Source organism: Homo sapiens, chromosome 22 (assembly GCF_000001405.40).
Source record: "Homo sapiens chromosome 22, GRCh38.p14 Primary Assembly".
Lineage (NCBI taxonomy): Eukaryota > Metazoa > Chordata > Mammalia > Primates > Hominidae > Homo > Homo sapiens.
Window position 1 is genome coordinate 28830950 of NC_000022.11, and position 23291 is coordinate 28854240.

Here is a 23291-nt window from a genome sequence, read left to right on the forward strand (position 1 = left end):
TCTCTACTAAAATTAGAAGAAAAAAAATCCAGTCATGGTGGTGCACTCCTGTAATCCCAGCACTCATGCAGCTGAGGCAGAAGGATCATTTGAGCCCAGAGGTTCAAGGCTACGATTAGGCCACTGCAGTGCAGCCTGGGGACAAAGTGAAACCCTGTCTCTCTAAAAAAAAAAAACAAAACTCAAAGAATATTTTTCTGAGGTGGGTGCTGTTGTCTCTGTGGTGGGTGCTATTGTCTCTCTGGTGGGTGGTGTCTCTGCAGTGGGTGCTGTTGTCTCTGAGGTGGGTGCTGTTGTCTCTGTGGTGGGTGTTGTCTCTGAGTGGGTGCTGTTGTCTCTCTGGTGGGTGTTGTTGTTTCTGAGGTGGGAGCTGTTTTCTCTCTGGTGGGTGTTGTTGTCTCTGAGGTGGATGCTGTTGTCTCTGTGGTGGGTGTTGTCTCTGAGGTGGGTGCTGGTGTCTCTGGTGGGTGCTGTTGTCTCTGTGGTGGGTGTTGTCTCTGAGGTGGGTGCTGGTGTCTCTGTGGTGGGTGTTGTTGTGTCTGAGGTGGGTGTTGGTGTCTCTGAGGTGCGTGTTGTTGTCTCTGTGGTGGGTGCTGTTGTCTCTGGTGGGTGTTGTTGTCTCTGAGTTGGGTGCTGGTGTCTCTGTGGTGGGTGTTGTTGTCTCTGGTGGGTGCTGGTGTCTCTGTGGTGGGTACAGTTGTCTCTGGTGGGTGTCTGAGAGGTTACACACACAGCCGGGGTGGCCCAAGGCCAGTGACTGGCTAATGGGGTGCTGCATAAAAGCCAGCCCCTGACCTCAAGGTGGGGCCAACACTGCAGCGCTCCCCTTGGAATCAGGCTGTGGTCAGACCTCTCCTGAAAGCACATGTTTGCTCAGCTCCCTCCCTGGCGCTGTTCCGCTTTCCTCACTTCCTTGCAGGTTTCTCCCTAGGGCCTCCCTCAATAAATCAATTGCATGGGAATTCCTGCCTCAGTCTCTGCTTCTGGGAGCCCAGCCTAAGCCTTTAAGAGTGGGTTCCCACTGTGAGCCGTCGTAATCTGGAGTAGGGTTGTGGAGTTTGACAGCTAGGGAAGAACTGGAGGTGATGATGCTAGCTGGGGCCATCCAGGAAGGGTATCAATAGAGTCCTGTGAAGAAACACATCTTAGAGGGGAAGCAAAGTTTGATGTTACCTCTGTCTCACTCTAAAGCTTGGATTTGTAACCATGACCTTGTACTATTCTTCACTCTCTGCTTATAATATTTTTTGTTTCTGTTTTTGATAGAGTGTCTTGCTTTGTCACCCAGGCTGGATTGCAGTGTTGTGAACATGGCTCACTGCAGCCTCCACCTCCCAGGCTCAAGTGAACACCTCAGCCCCCAAGAAGCTGGGACTACAAGCATGCACCACCACACCCTGCCAAGTTTTGTATCTTTTGTAGAGACAGGGTTTGGTTATGTTCCCCAGGCTGGCCTTAAACTCCTGAGCTCAAGCAATCCGCCTGCCTCAGCCCCCCGAAGTGCTGGGATTACAAGCGTGAGCCACCATGCCCAGCCTGTAAAGTTGTTACAGTTTTAAACCGAGACTTTTCAAAAAATCATAAGAAGGCCTGGTGCGGTGGCTCACACCTGTAATCCCAGCACTTTGGGAGGCCGAGAGGCAGGTGGATCACCTGAGGTCAGGAGTTCCAGACCAGCCTGGCCAACATGGTGAAACCCCATCTCTAGTAAAAATACAATTAGTCGGTCGTGGTGGTGGTGCCTATAATCCCAGCTACTTGGGAGGCTGAGGCAGGAGAATTGGTTGAAGCCAGGAGATGGAGGTTGCAGTGAACTGAGACTGTGCCACTGCACTCAAGCCTAGATGACAGAGCGAGACTCTGTCTAAAAAAAAAAAAAATTCATAAGAACATCTTCCTTCATTAACATAGCTTCTAAGGTGTGGGCAAGGCCAGTGTTCTGTGCCCAAGAAAGTCTGCTGGGCACACTGTGACCTTCACTGAGTCTGCTGAATCAGCCCACTTTGACTCAGCCCAGATATCAGAATAGCAGGGCAGTGGGGATGGTGTTGGGATAACAGCTTAGTTATATGGGAAAAAAAATAGGAATGGTTTGCTCCATCACATCAAACTGTAAATAAATTTCAGATGCATCCAAGCACTATATGTAAAAATGAAATGAGGCCAGTGGGGTGGGTCCTGCCTGTTATTCCAGCACTTTAGGAGGCTGAGGTGGGAGGATCACTTGAGCCCAGGAGTTGAAGACCAACTTGGGCAACATGACAAAACCCCATCCCTACAAAAAAATTTAAAAAATTAGCTGGGCATGGTGGCATGTGCCTGTAATTCCAGTTACTTGGGAGTCTGAGGTAGGAGGAACGCTTGAGCCCAGCAGGTCAAGGCAATAGAGCAAGACCCTGTCTCAAAAAAAAAATAAAAAAGAGAAAGAAAGAAAGAAGAAGAAGGAAAGAAGGAAAGGAAAAAAGGAAGGAAGGAAGAAAGGAAGGAAGGAAGGAAGGAAGAAAGAAAAAGAAAGAGAAAAAGGGAAGGAAGGAAGAGAGAGAGAGAGAAGGAAGGAAGGAGAAAAAGAAAAGAAAAGAAAAAAGAGATGCAAAAGGTACCAATCAGGAGAAACATCATTTGCTTTGCATCAAAATTAAAAGCATCTGAATGAAAAGGCACATTATAAACAAAGTGAAAAGTGACAGCCTTGATTATTGGTAGTTGACAGTGACTGTTTCTGACCCACTCTGTGGTTCTCACTTATGAGTGTCTCATCCCTCAAGCCATTTCCTCCCCCGTCCCCACATCTGTATCTATGCCACCAATACCTGGATGAGACTAAGCGGTAGACCAGACCCCCAGTCTGGGTTCAAGCACTGGTGAGGCAGATGGACTCAGCTGGAATTATTTTCACTTTGCTTTTTTTTTTTTCACTTGTTTTTTAGAGATGGAGTCTTGCTCTTTCTCCCAGGCTAGAGTGCAGTGGCACAATCATAGCTCACTGCAGCTTTGAATTCCTGGCCTCAAGGGATCCCCTTGCCTCAGCCTCCTAAGTTGCTGGGATCACAGGTGTGAACCACCATGCCCAGTGTCATTGGCTTTTCTACAGGACCTGCCAAAGAGCTGTGTGAAGGAGATACCTTAGACCGAGCATACTTCCTGGCCCTGGGCACAGATCCTTGGTCCTCAGACGCGCACTTGAAGTCCGGCCTCAGCTGCCCACATGGGATGAGGAATGTGTCCCGTCAGAAAGGTCTAGATCTCTGGGGGCTACTGCCATTTATCCCTTTTATTCTGGGAGAAGGTCCATGTCAGCCACCACGAAGTAAGCGTAATGTCTGAGCCACAGGTTGAAAATTTCTTGCTGTGCCACAGTTACCAGTTACTTCTGCACTTTATTCCTCACTGTGCTATTAGATGTACTTGAGGTTTCAGTGCAGCAGGGCTGGCCTGGGCTACCATGGACAATACATAGTTTTTAAAATTATTATTATTTTTTAGGCCAGGCGCAGTGGCTCACGCCTGTAATCCCAGCACTTTGGGAGGCCCAGGTGGGCAGACCATTAGAGGTCAGGAGTTTGACCAGCCTGGCCAATGTGGTAAAACGCTGACTCTACTAAAAATACAAAAATTAGCCTGGTGTGGTGGCGAGTGCCTGTAGTCCCAGCTACTTGGGAGGCTGAGGCACGAGAATAGCTGGAACCTGGGAGGCGGAGGTTGCAGTGTGCTGAGATCACTCCACTGCACTCCAGCCTAGGCAACAGAGTGAGTAGTCTCAAAAAAATTATTATTGATATTTTTATTCAAATTTTTCTTTTGAGACGGTCTTTTAGTAGAGATGGGGTTTCGCCATGTTGGCCAGGTTGGTCTCAAACTCCTGACCTCAAGTGATCCGCCCAGCCAATATTTAATTTTTAATTGACAAAATTTGTCTATATTTATGGTACACAACATAATATTTTGAAATATGTATACATTGTGGGATGGCTAAATCAAGCTAATCAACATATGCTTGCCTAACATACTTATCTTTTGTGTGTGTGCGTGGTGAGAACACTTAAAATCTCTCTTAGTAATTTTCTTTTTTTTTTGAGACAGAGTCTCACGCTGTCACCCAGGCTGGAGTGCAGTGGTGCCTTCTCGGCTCACTGCAACCTCCACCTCCCGGGTTCAAGCGATTCTCGTGCCTCAGCCTCCCGAGTAGCTGGGACTACAGGCGCGTACCACAACGCCCGGCTAGTTTTTGTATTTTGAGTAGAGACGGGGTTTCACCATGTTGGCCAACCTGGTCTCGAACTCCTGGCCCCAAGGGATCCGCCCACTTTGGCCACCCAAAATGCTGGGATTACAGGTGTGAGCCACCATGCCTGGCCTCTCTTAGTAATTTGCAAGTATATGATACAATGTTATTAACTATAGTCACCATATTGTACAATAAGACTGTACTTAGGCTTCAAAAGTTGAAAAGCAGGATGAAGGAAGAAAACTGCCTCATGTCAACGTCTATCCACACCTCCACCCATCTAACGAATACTTACCAATCACCTACTCCACCAGATAGCACCAAATAGCCAAAACAAAAAGCCCAGCCTTTCAGTCAGGATGATTTTGTTTACCAGTGATGGAACCCTACTTTGTGTGTGTGTATGTGTGTGTGTGTGAGAGAGAGAAAGAGAGAGAGAGAGACCCATTTTATGTGGACACTTAAGGCCTGGGTGGAATGAGCTGGGTGGCAGGCAAGTAGAGGGTCGCAGGCCCATGCCTGACTCTGGGAGGGGATGCCAGGCAGTGGGGACTGGCCCAGGCAGGCCAAGGGGAGTGCTGGAAGGGTGGCCCAGGCAGCCAGACCCATTGGGGGAAACTGAAGGCCAGCCCTTGGGAAGGTATCTAAGCCAGGGGGTGCGGGGCCAGAGCCTGGCCCAGGGAAGCAGGGTTGGGGCCTGGTTGGGGGCTCCCAGAGCCTAGAGGCTGACATCGCTGGGGGCCTCCCGGAGCTGCTGCTGGAACTCAAGGCGTGTCTGCCGGTTGGATTCCAGCAGCTCCTGGAAGTGGGTGTGGAGGTGGTGGTTTTCCTCCAGCTGCTCCAGACGGGAGTTGATCTGGTCCAGCATGGAGTTGCTGGCAGGTATTTTGCTTCCTCGAAGCTATCATTCTTGCCTTCCACTCCTGCCTCCAACAGCATTCCCGGGTCCCTTTTGGGGTCTGACGTTGCAGTCTCAGGCTTGATCACATCAAGGGCCGTGAAACCATGGATGGAACACAGAAACCATCATGCTGAAAGCCCAACAGAACCCTACTTAAACAAGCTTTAAAAAAAAAAAAAGTTCATGAAGGCAGGCACAGTGGCTCACATCTGTAATCTCGGCACTTTGGGAGGCTGAGGTGGGAGGATCACTTAAGCCCACAAGTTTCAGACTAGCCTGGGCAACATAGTGAGACCCCGATCTCTAAAAAATAATAAATAATAATAATAATAAGTTAGCCAGGCCTCGTGGCACACACCTGTGGCCCTAGCTACTTGGGAGGCTGATGTGGGAGCATTGCTTAAGCCCAGGAGTTCAAGGCTGCAGTGAGCTATGATGGGACTCCTGCACTCCAGCCTGGATGACAGACCAAGACTCTGGCTAATGAGTCATATAACTAAAAAGTCTAGAGATGAACTTCAAGTACAAATGGATCCAGGAACTTAAAAGATATCACCAGGGGCCGGGCACCAGTGGCTCACACCTGCAATCCCAGCATCTTGGGAGGCTGAGGCAGGTGGATCACTTGAGGTCAGGAGTTCGAGACCAGCCTGGCCAACATGCAGAAACCCCATCTCTACTAAAAATACAAAAATTAGCTGGGCATGGTGACACACGCCTGTAATCCCAGCTACTCGGGAGGCTGAGACACAAGAAGCGCTTGAGCCTGGGAGGCGGAGGCTGCAGTGAGCCAAGATTGTGCCACTGCACCACTCCAACCTGGGTGACAGAGCTCCATCTCAAAAAAAAAAAAAAAAGATATCACTAGGGCTCCCCCAACTCCATCTTTATTTTCTTCCCTTTGTGCGTCAGCCTTGCTGTTGCCTGTTGCAGATGGCTTCCTCCACCTGGCCTGGGAAAATGGCAAGCAGCTCCACCTTACACTGTCCTTACAGCTTATGATCTTAGACGAAGTGAAGCCCCCTGTTTCCCAGTTTCCTTATATCAAGCCTCAGAGAAGTCTTTGATTGGTTCTACTGGGCTTACATACCCACGTCCTAAGCCAGTCTCTGTGGACATGGGGATGGGTGGTCTGACTGGCCAGCTTGAATCACAAGTCCAGCGGGATGGTGGTGGGAGAGGGACAGAGCACTATGATTGAGAGCTTCACCTGGACCACAGAAGGTGAGGACAGGTGGGCAGACAGGGGAGAACATGCCAGGCAGGGAAAATGATAGCTGTCCCTTCTAGAGCCTATAAGCCTTCCATATACTTCTGTTCCTGACCCCAGCTTCATTCCTTTGCTGCGCCCATCCATAGACTCTGTACACCCCATCTTCATATCCATTGTGTGTGTCAGATGAGGGTCTTGCTCTGTCACTCAGGTTGGAGTGCAGTGGCACAGTCTCAGTTCACTGCAACCTCCACCTCCCAGGCTGAAGCGATCCTCCCATCTCAGCCTCCCAAGCAGCTGGGACCACAGGCATGCACCACTACATCCGGCTAATTTTTTGTACTTTTTGTAGAGACAGGGTTTTGCCGTGTTGCCCAGGCTGGTCTTGAACTCTTGAGCTCAGGCTATCCACCCGCCTCGGCCTCCCAAACTGCTGGGATTACAGGCTTGAGCCACCACACCTGGCCCATTGTGTTTTATTGTTGGTTTCCTGCTAGGCTTGAAGCTCTGGCAGCGCAGGGGTGGTGCCTATCTCATTTACCACTAAGTCCCCAGGGTCTACAGGGCTGCGAGAATGAATGATAACAAAGACTGTATCCACACAGCCAAAGACTTAAAACAAGGGAAGGTAAATCTAAGCAACCACCAGTAGCATGATGAGGGCTGCAGTCAGGGCAGGGACACAAAGGAGAGAGTTGCAGTGCTGCCTGGGCAGGGGTCTGGGTCAGAAAACAGAAGGTGGCCAGGCGCAGTGGCTCAAGCCTTTAATCCTAGCAGTTTGGGAGGCCAAAGTGGGTGGATCGTTTGAGCCCAGGAGTTTGAGACCAGCCTGGGCAGCATGGCGAAACCCCATCTCTGCAAAAAATACAAAAAATTTGCTGGGCGTGGTGGATTGCACGTGTAGTCCCAGCTACTCAGGAGGCTGAGGCGGGAAGATCGCTTGGCCCTGGGAGGCCCAGGCTGCAGTGAGCCATGATCACACCATTGTATTCTAGCCTGGACGACAGAGTGAGACCCTGTATCAAAAAAAAAAAAAAAAAGAAAAAGAAAAGAAAGAGGAAGGGAAGGGGAGGGGAGGGGAGGGGAGTGGAGGAGGAAAAGAAAGAAAGGAAAGAGAGAGAGGAAAGAAAGAGAAAGAGAGAGAGAAAGAAAGAGAGAAAGAAAGACAGCTGGGTGCGGTGGCTCACGCCTGTCATCCCAGCACTTTGGGAGGCCAAGGCGGGAGGATCACGAGGTCAGGAGATCGAGACCATTCTGGCTAACACAGTGAAACCCCGTCTCTACTAAGAATACAAAAAAAAAAAAAATTAGCCGAGTGTGGTGGCGGGCGCCTTAGTCCCAGCTACTCAGGAGGCTGAGGCAGGAGAATGGCGTGAACCCAGGAGGCGGAGCTTTCAGTGAACAGAGATCACACCACAGCACTCCAGCCTGGGCAACAGAGCGAGACTCCATCTCGAAAAATAAAATAAGAAAGAAATGGCAGAAAGAAGGAAAGAAAGGAAGGAAGGAAGGAAGGAAACGTGGAAGAGACATTTCTGTTTCTTTCCTTTTTTTTTTCTTCTCCTGCCCAGCGCTTGGATGTCCCCCTTTCTCTGTTTATGGAGTTCCTTACTATATAATCTTGGAAGAGCCTGCTTCCCACTCCAGAAGCCAAAAACTCCAGATACCAGCTTGCCCCTGCCCCCAGGCAGCTAGGCTCAGCCACCCACCACATCACTATGAAGTAAGTCAGACAATACCTACTTCACAAAAGTCACTTTGATGGTTAAATGGAGTTTAAAAAGCATGCAGCTCAGGCCTGGACATCTACTCGACCCTTAATAGTTGTTGCTCCCTCCTCGACCCTGGGCAGTGGGTGGGAGGGAGAAGAGCACAGGATGGTCAGTGTCTGACTTTGACCGTTGGACTGCAGACACTATAGGGGGAGGAGTTTAGAAGTCCTTTTTGTTTGTTTGTTTTGTTTTTTTGTTTTATTTGTCTTTAAGACAGGGTCGGCCAGGTGCAGCGGCTCATGCCTGTAATCCCAGCACTTTGGGAGGCTGAGGCAGGTGGATCACCTGAGGTCAGGAGTTTGAGACCAGCCTGGCCAACATGGTAAAACTCCGTCTCTGCTAAAAATACAAAAATAGCTGGGCGTGGTGGTGCACATCTATAATCCCAGTTACTTGGGAGGCCCAGTTACTTGGGAGGAGAATTGCTTGAACCCAGGAGGTGGAGGTTGCAGTGAGCCGAGATGGCACCACTGCACTCCAGCCTGGGTGACAGAGTGAAACTCCATCTCAAAAAAAAAAAAAAAAAAAAAAAAGAGAGAGAAACAGGGTCTCCCTATGTTGCCCAGGCTGGTTTCGAACTCCTGGCTTCAAGTGATCCTCCTGCATCAGTCTCCCAAGGATGACAGCCGTGAGCTGCCATGCCCAGCCAAGGTCCTTTTATCTAAAAATTGAATATGCTGTATTGTAGTCATGAGAATGCACCACTTGGCCAGGCAAGGTGGCTCATGCCTGTAATCCCAGCACTTTGGGAGGCCGAGGTGGGTGGATCACCTGAGGTCAGGAGTTCCAGATCAGCCCGGACAACATGGCGAAACCCCGTCTCTACTAAAAATACAATAATTAGGCGGGCATGGTGGCGGGTGCCTGTAATCACAGCTACTTGGGGGGCTGAGGATGGAGAATTGCTTGAACCCAGGAGGCAGAGGTTGCAATGAGCAGAGATGGTGCCATTGCACTCCAGTCTGGCCAACAAGAGCGAGACTCCATCTTAAACAAATAAAAAACAGAAAATGCACCACTCAACTTTACTGTTGTAGAGAACATAATAGACTGGCAGCCCCAGGTGCTGCCCCGCCTGGGTCCACTCAGCATTTGAGTTTGCACTGAGGCTTCCCAGCCAGCCAGTGACAGAGCACATGGGGTACTGGCCCATTCCTGGGAGACACAGGACACCTAGAACAGTCAGCTTTGGCTCAAGGACTCTCCATTAGCCTGGCTGAAACTTTATTAGATGTGCAGGGCCCTCTGAGGCTCTTCTTACCTAAACCTTCCTGCCCGTTTCTTTTCACAGGAGTAGACCTGCTTCGAGGTCTAAAGGACCCCCTGCCTCCTCTGCCTCTCTTTATCATCCATTGGTGTTTCTTCCACAAATCTTGTACGTCTAATCCCTTCTTTGCCCCTGCTTCTTGGAGAATTTGAAATGACACGTCTGTATTTTTTAGAACTTTATTTTTGTTTTTATTTTTTTGAGACAGGTCTCACTCTCACTCTGCCACCCAGGCTGGAGTGCAGTGGCTCAATCTTGGCTCACTGCAGCGGTGCAATCTCGGCTCACTGCAGCCTCCACCTCCTGGATTCAAGTGATTCTCCTGCCTCAGCTTCCCAAATAGCTGGGATTACAGGCATGCACCACCAAGCCTGGCTAATTTTTGTATTTTTAGTAGAGACGGGGTTTCACCATGTTGGTCAGGCTGGTCTCAAACACCTGACCTTAGGTCACCTGCCTTGGCCTCCCAAAGTGCTGGGATTACTTGGCCTCCCAAAGTGCTGGGATTACAGGCATGAGCCACCAGGCCTGGCTTTTTTTTTTTTTTTTTTTTTGAGACAGTGTCTCACTCTGTTGCCCAGGCTAGAGTGCAATGGTACAATCATGGCTCACTGCAGCGTCAACCTCCTGGACTCAAGCAATCCTCCCACCTTAATCTCCCAAGTAGCTGGGACTATGGCAGCATGCCACCACATCTGGCTAACTAAAAACAAAAAAAAAATTCTTTGTAAAAACAGGGTTTTGCTATGTTGCCCAGGCTGGTCTCGAATTCCTGGCCTCAAGTAATCCTCCCACCTTGGCCTCACAAAGCATTGGGATTGCAGGTATGAGCCACCGTGTGCGGCCTTAGAACTTTTTGCAGTAGAAGTTGGCATTGTCCAGGATGTGGAAATCCTACTAATTTATTCCGTTTCACCAGAGGAAATGTATAGTTACCACCAGCAGGCAAAAGAACTTTTCAGGAACCTGGTGGCCAAACCTGGGCATTGTACATATGGATGTTGAAATCAACAAACATCAGTTGAAAATGTGGGTTGCTCCTGACTAGAGCCTAATAATAAATTAGAATGTGCCCAATATAAAAACCGCTTTGAGTAGGAGAGGTTACGGCAAGGGCAAAAAATGTGAAGCAACTTGTACAAAAATGCTGCAAATAGATGAGAACAGAAGAAGCTTCCTGAAGTTCTCACAGTGGCAGCACTGATGTTGCTTCAGTCCATCACAAGCAGGCCAAAGCAAGGGGCTGAGAAAAAAGGCAAAATGCAAAGTGATGAGGTTGGACTTCATCAAAATTTCAAACTTTTGTGCATCAAAGGACACCATCGAGAATGTGAAAAGGCAGTCCCAGCTACTCAGGATGAGCAGGGAGGATCACTTGAGCCTAGGAGTTCAAGGTTACAGTGCCCCATGATCATGCCTGTGAATAGCCACCGCACTACCACCTGGGCAACAGAGCAAGACTCCTCTAAAATAAATAAATAAAACTTAAAAATAAGGAAAGAAAGGGCCGGGTGCGATGGCTCATACCTGTAATCCCAGCACTTTGGGAGGCCGAGGCGGGCAGATCACCTGAGGTCGGGAGTTCAGGACCAGCCTGACCGACATGGAGAAACCCCATCTCTACTAAAAACACAAAATTAGCCGGGCATGGTGGTGCATGCCTGTAATCCCAGCTACTTGGGAAGGCTGAGGCAGGCGAATCGCTTGAACCTGGGAAGCGGAGGTTGCAGTGAGCCAAGATCGCACCATTGTACTCCAGAGTAAAACTCTGTCTCAAAAATAAATAAATAAATAAATAATAAGGAAAGAAAGAAAACCGGCCAGGTGCAGTGGCTCACGCCTGTATCCCAGCATGTTGGGAGAGCGAGGCAAGCGGATCGCTTGAAGCCAGGAGTTTGAGATCAGCCTGGGCAACACAGCAAGACCCTGTCTCTATGAAAAATAAAATAAAATTAGCAGGGCATGGTGGCACATATCTGTAGTTCCAGCTACTTGAAAGGCTGAGGTGGGAGGCTGGCTTGAGTCCAGGAGTTTGAGGCTACAGTGGGCTACGATCTGATCACACCACTGCACTCCAGCCTGGGCAACAGATTGAGATCCCATCTTGAAAAAAAAACAAGAAAAACAAACAAAACAAAACAAAACAAAAAACAGAAAGTGAAAAAACAACCCACAGAATGGATGGAAGCAAATATTTGCAAATCATATATCTGATAAGGGTTTAGTATCCAGACTATATAAAGAACTCTTACAACTAAACAATAAAAGACAAATAACAATTTGTTATTAAAACTATTAAAAATGGGTAAAGGATTTGAATACATATTTCTCCAAAGAAGATACACAAATGGTAAGTAATCACATGAAAGACATTAAACAGGCCTGGCATGGTGGCTCACGCCTGTAATCCCAAGAGGCAGGTGGATCACCAGGAGATAGAGACCATCGTGGCTAACATGGCAAAACCCCGTGTCTACTAAAAATACAAAAAATTAGCCAGGTGTGGTGGCGGGTGCCTGTAGTCCCAGGTACTCGGGAGGCTGAGGCAGGAGAATTGTTTGAACCTGGGAGGCGCAGGTTACAGTGAGCCGAGATCACGCAGCTGCACTCTAGCCTGGGCAACAGAGCAAGACTCTGTCTGGAAAAAAAAAAAAAGACATTAAACATCATTAGTTATTAGGGAAATGCAAATCAAAACCACAGTGAGATACAACTTCATATCCACTAGGATGGCTGTAATCACAAAGAGAGAAAACAAGAAGTGTTCTTCAACATGTGGAGAAATTGGAACTCTCATATATTGCTGGTAGAAATACAAAATGGTGTGGCTGCTTTGAAAACACGTATGGCAATTCCTTAAGAGTTAAACATAGTTATCATATAATCCAACAATTCCACTCCTAGGTATATACTCAAGAGAATTGAAAACTTATGTCTGCACTAAACATATGAATATTCATAGTAGCATTATGCATAATAACCAATATTGAATGGATAAACAAATGTGGTCTATTCATACAACGGAATATTATTCAGCAATAAACAGGAATGACATACAACATGGATGGACCTTGAAAGCATTGTGTTAAGTGAAAGCAGCCAGACCCAAAAGCCTGGCCAACATGGTGAAATCCCATCTCTACTAAAAATACAAAATTTAGCCAGGCGTGGTGGCACACGTCTGTAATCCCAGCTACTCAAGAGGCTGAGGCAGGAGAATCACTTGAACCTGGCAGGTGGAGGTTGCAGTGAGCTGAGATCACGCCACTGCACTCCAGCCTGGGTGACAGAATGAGACTCTGGAAAAGAAAGAAAGAGAGAGAGAGAGAGAGAGCGATGGAGGGAGGGAGGGGAAGGAAGGAAAGAAAGGAAAGAAAGGAAGGAAAGGAAGAGAATGTAAGCAATATACATATATCACAGTAACTTTGGAAAATAAAGAAGATAAAAAGTTTCCGTTAAGGGAGGGACCATGTTTGTCTTATTCATTGTAACAACCCTTGTACCCAACAAAGTGCTTGGCACATAGGTGCTCAGGATACACATGTTGAGTGAATGAGTAAATCATAGATGCATCATTGTAATAGCACAAGTTTAAGCATATTGGTGACTTCTTCTCCCTCTCCAAACATTAGGTTTATTTATTGTTTTTAGTGCTTTTATTCTACTTATAAAAGTAATACATGTTGATTGTAGAAAACTTGGAAAATTAAAAAGCAAACCAAAAAGAAAATGAAAATCACCTGTGTTTCTACCACTTACAGAAAAATCCACTATTGATATTTTATGTTTTTCCTTCCAGGTTTTATTCTGGGCATATATATGTTTGGAGGTGTGTGTATGTTTGGGGAACCTTTGAATTTGGAAGTACCAAGGTGAGGAGAGACTTATGGAATTTAGAAGCTTTGGCAGGAACTAAGCACTGTGTTTCTTAGAATGAGCAGCTCTTTCTACTTGAAAGGCTGAGGCAGAGGATCGCTTGATCCCAGGGATTTGAAGCTGGCTGCAGTGAGCTATGATCACACCACTACTCTCCAGCCTAGGTGACACAGCAAGACTCTGTAAAAAATGAAGAAGAAGAAAGAAGAAGAAGAAGAAGAAGAAGAAGAAGAGGAAGAGGAAGAGGAAGAAGAAGAAGAAGAAGAAGAAGAAGAAGAAGAAGAAGAAGAAGAAGAAGAAGAAGAAGAAGAAGAACAGGCCATGTGAGGTTGCCACACCTGTAATCCTAGCACATTGGGAGGCTGAGGTGGGAAGATCACTTGAGGTCAGGAGTTCGAGACCAGTCTGGCCAACATGGTGAAACCCTGTCTCTAATAAAAATACAAAAATTAGTCAGGTATGGTAATGGGTGCCTGTAGTCCCAGCTACGTGGGAGGCTGAGGCAGCAGAATCACTTGAACCTGGGTGGCAGAGGTTGCAGTGAACCAAGATCATGCCACTGTACTCCAGCCTGGGTGACAGAGTAAGACTCTATCTCAAAAACAACAACAACAAACAAACAAAAATAGTTCCTTAAGGTGAGAGACAAATTTATCAAATAAAATGTAAAAGCCATGAGTTTAGTAACAGCAATTTTTCTGTCATTTTTTCCCTCAGTGAACATTGGCACTTATTTTAGTGGAATTAAAAGTAGCAGGCTGAGTGCAGTGTCTCACACCTGTAATCTCAACACTCTGGGAAGCCAAGGCAGGAGAATCTCTTGAGGCCGAGAGTTTGAGACCATCCTGGACAACATAGTGAGACCCCATTTCTATTAAAAAATATATATATATTAGCCGAGAATGGTGCCATGCACCTGTAGTCTCAGCTACTCTGGAAGCTGTGGCAGGAAAATCGCTTGAACCCAGCAGTTTGAGGTTACAGTGAGCTATGGCTGTGCCACTGCACTCCAGCCTGGTGACACAGCATGAGCCTATCTCTAAAAACAAAACAAAACAAAACAAAATAAAATAAAAATGATAAAAATTAGCCCAGCATGATGGCACACATCTGTAGTTCCAGAGGCTGGAATTACCAGCTATTTCGGAAGCTGATGTGGGAGAGTCATGTGAGCCCAGGAATTCGAGGCTGCAATGAGCCATGATTGAGAGACTGCACTCTAGCCTGGTCGACAGAGTGAGGCTGTCTCTGTTTTTTGTTTTTTGAGACAGAGTCTCGCTCTGTTGCCCAGGCTGGAGTGCAGTGGTACCATCTCAGCTCACTGCAAGGTCCGCCTCCCGGGTTCATGCCATTCTCCTGCCTCAGCCTGCGAAGTAGCTGGGACTACAGGCGCCCACCACCACACCTGGCTAATTTTTTGTATTTTTAGTAGAAATGGGGTTTCACTGTGTTAGCCAGGATGGTCTCCATCTCCTGACCTCATGATCCACCTGCCTCGGCCTCCCAAAGTACTGGGATTACAGGTGTGAGCCACTGCGCCTGGCCAGCTCTCTCTGTTAAAAAAGAAAGTAGGCCAGGCGCAGTGGCTCACACCTGTAATCCCAGCACTTTAGGAGGCCGAAGCAGGTGGATCAGTTGAGGTCAGGAGTTCGAGACCAGCCTGACCAACATGGTGAAACCCCGTCCCCACTAAAAATAAATTAGCAAGGCATGGTGGCACATGCCTGTAATACCAGCTACTCAGGAGGCTGAGGCAGGAGAAGCACTTGAACCTGGGAGGTGGAGGTCACAGTGAGCTGAGATCATGCCACAGCACTCCAGCCTGGGCAACAGAGTGAGACTCCATCTCAAAAAAAAAAAAAAAAAAAAAGAAAAAAAGAAAAAAAAGTAGCTTTAACATACTGTTACAGCTTACTTAATCCTGGGGTCATCTTTTGGGGCAATCTTAGCCATCCTAGCCTTGGGCCTGAAAGGAAGCCAGCATGACTTTGGAGCATAGTCACTGAATGAATGTCCTTGGGTTGGGAAGCTGAAGCTCTGGGTCTGATATGTGCACTGCTGCTAACTCGCTGTATGACCTCACATGAGGCTCTTTTCACATGTACCTCTCACAGCTCTATAAGGAACGACCCAGGCCAGAAACCTGCCAAATCCTGTCCAGTACTATGATCTACAAAACGGATCTGCCTCAGGAAAGCCAGGGAAGGTGGGGCTGGATGGAGTGTGTTCCAGCTGGAACATCTGCTCTGGGCCAGGCACAGTGGGGAAAGCCAAGGTGGATTCACTATGGCCCTGATCTCATGATTGGGGTGAGTCACATTTTTATGATTAATAAACAATAGCACGTTCAAGTCCCCACTAATTCAAATATTTACTAGGGGTCTATTCTGTGCCAGGCAAAGGCATATGGATACATAAGATAAATAAGACACAGTCCTTACCCTCAAGGAGTTCGGTGTGGACAGGGATTGATAAAACTGTGAAGTCAAGGAGACCTTTGTGAAATAGGGTGTAGAAAGTAAAAGTTCCTCTTCAAAGTTTCCTTTCTTGTTAAAGAATAAATCACAACTGTTAAAAATAATAGTTTCTTTTAAAGATTAACTTTATGCTAGACATGCTCACAGGCAGGTAGTACATTCTATGTAGTACTTTAACCAAGGTATCTGTGCTGGACGTGCTCACAGGCATGTCCCAGCTCGCAGCCTATACCCATTCCTTATTTAGGAATATTATTACTTTTTAAAAATCCTTTCATAAGCAGCTTCCTCTTTTCCTTTGTCTTTCCATTGCTTTTACCTATTTAGAAAAGTTTAATGTTATTAGCCAATCAGGTTTTAGTTTAAATTTTGAGGTCTGGCTCCAGCCAATGGAGACGGGACACAGTAGCAGGGACGAACTGTGTAAGGGATAAAAATTGCTTCCCTCCTTTATTCAGGTGTGCTCTTGCCATTGTTCCATCTGCAGTGAGCACCCTTTCTGCAGAAAGTAAAAATTGCCTTGCTGAGAGAATTAAATTTATGTTTGAGTGCTATTTCTTTACAGCATCAGGGAACAAGCATTCTGTTTCTAAATAAACATTTCACATATAACATAGGGGAAGTGTAGCTTGGATGGGGGTTGGCTATATCCAGAAGGGCATTTCTGGTAAAGAAAACATCTTGCATAAAGGCAGGCAGCCTGTGGCAGACACTGCTGCCTAGAGAACTCTTTATTTTTTTTGAGACGGAGTTTCACTCTTGTTGCCCAGGCTGGAGTGCAATGGCGTGATGTCAGCTCACTGCAACCTCCACCTCCCAGGTTCAAGCAATTCTCCTGCCTCAGCCTCCCAAGTAGCTGGGATTACAGGCATGTATCACCATGCCTGGCTAATTTATTTTTGGTAGAGACAGGGTTTCTTCATGTTGTTCAGTTTGGTCTCGAACTCCTGACCTCAGGTGATCCACCCGCCTCAGCCTCCCAAAGTGCTGGGATTACAGGCATGAGCCACCGCACCCGGCCTTTTTTTTTTTTTCTTTTTGAGAGGGAGTTTCACTCTGCCACCCAGGCTGGAGTGCAATGGTGCGACCTGGACTCACTGCAACCTCTGTCTCCCAGGTTCAAGCGATTCTCCTGCCTCAGCCTCCAGAGGAGCTGGGATCACAGCAACTGCTGCCACGCCTGGCTAATTTTTGTACTTTTGGTAGACATGGGGTTTTGCCATGTTGGTCAGGCTGGTCTCAAACTCCTGACCTCAATTGATCCACCTGCATCGGCCTCCCAAGGTCGTGGGATTACAGGCGTGAGCCACCACGCCCGGCCTGCTTAGAGACCTCTTAATGTCTATTCTTTCTTACTAAATTAGAATAACAGAATTTCAATTTACTTCATTAGGACAGCTGTGTACCTAGCTAGAAAAACGGTATTTCCCATGGCTCTTTTGCAGCCATAGTTGACCACGTGACTGAGATCTTACCAATGAGGTGTCAACAGAAGGTGCTAGGAGAAGCTTTTGAATAAAATCATTTATTTATTTATTTATTTATTTATTTATTATTTTTAGAGATAGAGTCTTGCTCTGTCACCCAGGCTGGAGTGCAGTAGCACTATCATAGCTCACTACATCCTTAAACTCCTGGGCCCAGGTGATACTCTGGTCTCGGCCTGCCATGCGTCACCACACTCAGCTAATTTTTAAATTTTTTTTGTAGAGACAAGAACTTGCTGTGTTGCCCAGGCTGGTCTTGAACTTCTGGCCTCAAGAAGATCCTCCCACCTCGACCTCTCAAAGTGTTGGTATTACAGACGTGAGCCACTGGGCCCCACTGTGTTCTGTTCTTATTGCCCATGACAATTAAAGTTAGCTCTATCTCATCTCCATGACCATCACAAACACATGCCATTAATTTTGCTCACCCAAATCTCTATGCTCTGACTTCTGGGCACCTAGTACTGGCTAATGAGCTGTGAGCTGGGCCAGAGCATAGAATAGCTGGTGCGAGACCTTTTGAGAGTTCTATCTCCCTCTGTCATGGCAACCAGCCATATTCAAAATGGCAACCAGCAATATTCAAAATGAGGGCTACTGCCAGGCATGCTGGCTCATGCCTGTAATCCCAGCGACTCAGGAGGCCAAGGGTGGGAGGATTGCTTGAGGCCAGGAGTTTGAGACCAGCCTGGGTAACATAGTGAGACTCTGTATCCAAAAAAAAGAAAAAAAAAAAAGTCTACTTTGGTGTCATCCTGGCTTTTGGAGGGAGGTGATGTGAAACTGCCAGGTGCCATGTAATGGATATATAGTGTGAGGTAGCAATACACGTTTTTTTTTTTTTTTTTTGGAGACAGAGTCTCTGTTGCCCAGGCTGGAGTGTGGTGGTGCGATCTTGGCTCACTGCAAACTCTGTCCTCTGGGTTCAAGTGATTCTTCTTCTGCCTCAGCCTCCAGAGTAGCTGGGACTTTAGGTGCGCACCACCACGCCTGGCTAATTTTTGTATTTTTGGTAGAGATGGGGTTTTGCCATGTTGACCAGGCTGGTCTCAAATTCCTGTAAGCCACTGCGCCTTGCAGCAGTACACGTTTTATAAATTGATACATAATATTTCACATATTGATGGGGACATATATTTCACATATTGATGGGGACATGTGAGTATCTGTTACAGGCACAGAATGTGTAATGATCAAGTCAGGGTATTTGGGGTATCCATCACCTTGAGGACTTACCAGTTCTTTCTTTTCTTTCTTTTCCTTCTTCCTTTCCTTTCCTTCCTTCTTCCTTCCTTCCTCCCTCCTTCCCTTCCCTTCCTTCCCCTCCCCCCTCCCCTCCCGTCGTCTCCTCCCCTCCCCTCCCCTCCTCCCCTCCCCTCCCCTCCCCTCTCTTCCCTTCCCTTCCCTTCGACGGAGTCTTGCTGTGTCACCCAGGCTGGAGGGGCTGGAGTGCAGCGGCTCCATCTCTGCTCACTGCAACCTCGGCCTCCTGGGTTCAAGCGATTCTCCTGCCTCAGCCTCCCGAGTAGCTGGGATTACAGGTGCCTGCCACCATGCCCAGCTAATTTTTGTATTTTTAGCAGAGATAGGGTTTCACCATGTTGGCCAGGCTGGTCTTGAACTCCTGACCTCAGGTGATCCACCTACCTTGGCCTCCCAAAGTGCTGGGATTACAGGTGTGAGCCACCATGCCCAGCCCGAGGACTTACCATTTCTAAGTGTTGGGAACATTTCAAGTCCTCTCTTCTAGCTGCTTTGAAATACACAGTCCATCGTTGCTAAGTATAGTCACTTTACTCTGCCATCAAACATTAGAACTTTTTCTATCTAACTGTATGTTTGATAACCCACCTCTCTTCATCACCCCCCTCCCGTCCATACACCCATCCCAGCCTCCAGTACATGGCATTCTATTCTTTGACTCTTTGAGATCAGCTTTTTAGCTCCCACACGAGTGAGGACATCCAATATTCGTCTTTTTGTGCCTGACTTATTTCAATTATACCATAATGACCTCCAGTTCCATCCATGTTAGTGTAAATAACATGATTTCATTCTTTTTCTTTTTGTTTGATACAGGGTCTCCCTTTGTTGCCCAGGCTGGAATGCAGTGGCGTGATCATGGCACACTGCAGCCTTCAATTCCTGAACTCAAGCGATCTTTCTGCCTCAGCCTCCCGAGTAGCTAAAACTACTGGTGCACAGCACCACACTTGGCTAATTTTCAAAGACTTTTGGTAGAGATGGAGTCTCCTATGTTGCCCAGGCTGGGGCTGTTACCTGCAGCATAATCTAGCCTATCCTGTCTACTAAAGGCACTGAATTTGAGAGACAGTACTGTAATATAATGAGGCCATCTAGATGTTCCAGAATATGTTTACATGGTGTTATTTACATTATTAAAACAAAAGTTAAAATTATCATAACCAGAATGATATTGTGGTTGTATAGGAAAATGTCCTTATTCTTAGGAGATGTATTTTGAGTGCTTAGGAGTTTTTTGGTTTGTTTGTTTGTTTGTTTTTGAGACAGAGTCTCGCCCTGTCGCCCAGGCTGGAGTATGGTGGCGTGATCTCGGCTCACTGCAACTTCTGCCTCCTGAGTTCAAGTGATTCTTGTGCCTCAGCCACCCGTAGCTGAGACTACAGGAGTGCACCACCGTGACTAATATTTGTATTTTTAGTAGAGACAGAGATTCGCCATGTTGTGCAGGCTGGTCTCGAACTCCTGGCCTCAAGTGATCCTCCTGCCTCAGCCTCCCAAAGTGCTGGGATTATAGACTTGAGCCACCGCTCCCAGCCTGAGTGCTTAGGAGTTTGTTGTTGTTGCTGTTGTTGTTGTTGTTGCTTTAGTCTTCATATCTGCAACTTACTTTCAAATGGTTCAGGAAAAGTGAAACAGAAAGGGTAGAAGTTAATAATTTGCAATGCCAATGAAAGCTATACATACTGTTCTTTCCACTTTTCTGTAGGTTTGAAATTTTAGAAAAGAAAACAAAGATTATCATAAAGAACTCAGGGGTCCAGGCACGGTGGTTCATGCCTGTAATCCCAGCATTTTGGGAGGCCCAGGTGGGTGGATCACTTGAGGTCAGGTGTTCAAGATCAGTGTAGCCAAAATGGTGAAACCCCGTCTTTACTAAAAATACAAAAAAAATTAGCCGGGCATGGTGGAATGCGCCTGTAATCCCAGCTACTTGAGAGGTTGAGGCGGGAGAATTGCTTGAATGCTGGAGGTGGAGGTTTCAGTGAGCCGAGATCGTGCCACTGCACTCCAGTTTGGGTGACAGAGCAAGACTCTGCCTCAAAAAACAAACAAACGGAAAAAAGAACTCAAGGAGCGCCAAGAATATGTCATTAGTTCCGGGTATGAGAAACCACTATGGTCAGTAAGGGACACTGAAGTATTTTCAGTACAGAAGAAACAGGACCAGATTTGATTTTTTTTTTTTTTTTTGAGACGGAGTCTCGCTCTGTTGCCCAGGCTGGAGTGCAATGGTGCGATCTCGGCTCACCTCAACCTCCACCTCCCAGGTTCAAGCAATTCTCCTGCCTCAGCCTCCTGGGTAGCTGGGATTACAGGCACCCACCACCATGCATGGCTAATTTTTATATTCTTAGTAGAGACAGGGCTTCACTATTTGGCCAGGCTGGTCTCGAACTCCTGACCTCAAGTGATCCACCTGCCTCAGCCTCCCAAAGTGCTGGGATTACAGGTGTGAGCCACCACGCCCAGCCCAGGACCAGATTTTTTATCTGAAAGATCAGGCTAGGAGCAAGAGAACAACCTGGACCAGTCTGTGGCAGTGAGCTAGGCAAGAGTGGCATGGGGACAGGAGGGGGCAATGGATCTGGAACACATTTGGGAAGTAGAGTGGACAGGGCTTCCTGAGAGCTTATGAGTGGTAGAACTGAGGGTCAATTTCCTTTCTTCAAAGTCTAGCCCTGTGCTACCTAATACAGTGGCCACTGGGCCCACCGGGCTATTTAAATTTAATTAATAACAGGCTGAGTGGTGTGATTCACACCTGTAATCCCAGCACTTTGGGAGGCTGAGGCGGAAGGATCACTTGAGGTCAGGAGTTCAAGACCAGTCTGACCAATGCTGTGAAACTCTGTCTCTACTAAAAATACAAAAATTAGGTGAGCATGGTGGCGGGTGCCTGTAATCCCAGCTTCTCGGGAAGGTGAGGCAGGAGAATCGATTGAATCGAGGAGACGGAGGTTGCAGTGAGCCGAGATGGTGCCACTGCACTCCAGCCTGGGCAACAGAGTGAGTAAGACTCCATCTCAAAAAATAAAATAAAAATAAATAAATTAATTAATTAACAACAGGCCAAGTGTTGTGATTCACACCTATAATCCCAGCACTTTGGAAGAGGCTGAGGCAAGAGAATTGCTTAAGGCCAGGAGTTCAAGATCAGCCTGGGCAATATAGTGAGACCCCATCTATACAAAAAAATTGTTTAAAAATTAGTCAGGCATGGTGGTGCACAGGAGTCTCAGTTAGTCCCAGCCACTCAGGAGGCTGAGGTGGCAGGATTGCTTGAGCCCAGGAGTTCAAGGCTGCAGTAGCTATGATCATGCCACTGCACTCCAGCCTGGGTGGCAGAATGAGACCCTGTCTCAAAAATAAGTAAATGAATGAGTGAATGAAGAAGTAAATAAATACTTTAATTAATAACAATTAACATAAAATTAAGCCGGGTACGGTGGCTCAAGCCTGTAATCCCAGCACTTTGGGAGGCCGAGGCAGGCGGATCACGAGGTCAGGAGATCGAGACCATCCTGGCTAACACGGTGAAACCCCGTCTCTATTAAAATAAATGAAAAAAATTTAGCCGGGCATGGTGGCGGGCGCCTGTAGTCCCAGCTACTCGGGAGGCTGAGGCAGGAGAATGGCATGAACCTGGGAGGCAGAGCTTGCAGTGAGCCGAGATTGCGCCACTGCACTCCAGCCTGGGGGATAGAGCGAGACTCCGTCTCAAACAACAACAACAACAACAACAACAACAACAACAAACAAACAAAAAAACCCATAAAATTAAAAATTCAATTCCACAGCCCCATGAGCCACCTTTCAAGCACTCAACAGCCATAGCTGGGTACTGGCCATAGCATAGGGCAGTGCAACTACAGTCATGTACCATGTAATGACATTTCAGTAGATGATAGACGGCATAGACAAAAGTCTTCCCATAACATTATAATACTGTATTTTTACTGTATCTTCTCTATGTTTAGATGTGTTTAGATACACAAATACTTGCCATTGCATTACAATTGCCTACAGTATTCAGTGCAACAACATGCTTTACAGTTTTGTAGCCTAGGAGCAATAGGCTACACCATATAGTCTAGGTGTAGAGTAGGCTACACCAGCTAGGTTTGTGCAAATGCCCTCCAGGCTCACATGGTGAAATCGCCTAATGATGCATTTCTCAGAAGGCGTTCCTCATCAAGTGATGCACAAGTGTGGAACATTTCCATCATTGTGGAAGTTCCATTGGATCACACTGGTCTATACTTTTCCCATTTCATTATACTGTTTCCCTTGCCCACTCCCTAATGATCGCACACGGAGCCCTGTTCTCTAGAAGCTCACAGACAACGAGGGAACCGAAGGTCATTAATACAATGTAGAACTGTGTTGAGATACATTAGAAAGATGTGGAGAGCTTTCTGTGGGAGTTCAGAGGAGGAAACAAGTATTTCTGGGAGAAAGTAGCTTTAGTGGAAACTTGCAGATGACAGGAAAGAGAAGAGGGGTGTCGGGGGAGGCATGAGAACCTGCTGAAACAGGATCATTCCTTGCTTTCCCCAGAAGAGAGGTTGTAAGTTTGTTTATTTATTTTTATTTTTATTTATTTATTTTTGAGACAGAGTCTTGCTCTGTCACCCAGGCTGAAGTGCAGTGGCATGATCTCAGTTCACTGCAATCTCTGTCTCCTGGGTTCAAGCAATTCTCCTGTCTCAGTTTCCCGAGTAGCTGGGACTACAGGCGCATGCCACCACGCCCGGCTAATTTATGTATTTTTAGTAGAGACGGGGTTTTGCCATGTTGGCCAGGCTGG

General features: G+C 47.0%; 1 long non-coding RNA gene and 1 pseudogene across 1 annotated transcript, besides 1 other annotated feature; one reads left to right on the forward strand and one right to left on the reverse strand.

The window, feature by feature from the left end:
• Nucleotides 4374-4875: an enhancer, noted in NCBI's record as "H3K4me1 hESC enhancer chr22:29231311-29231812 (GRCh37/hg19 assembly coordinates)". NCBI's record gives its function as "activates a minimal SCP1, AML or CMV promoter by ChIP-STARR-seq in naive H9 embryonic stem cells {active_cell/tissue: H9 hESC(naive)}" and the evidence as "EXISTENCE:reporter gene assay evidence [ECO:0000049][PMID:30033119]".
• On the reverse strand, nucleotides 4665-5265 carry BBLNP2 (BBLN pseudogene 2; annotated as a pseudogene).
• Nucleotides 9058-17604, forward strand: LOC107985549 (uncharacterized). Its single transcript, XR_002958745.2, has 4 exons — nucleotides 9058-9486; nucleotides 13178-14111; nucleotides 15369-15563; nucleotides 17442-17604. It is a non-coding gene; the product is annotated as an uncharacterized LOC107985549 (long non-coding RNA).
• Nucleotides 17605-23291: the final 5687 nt, after the last annotated feature.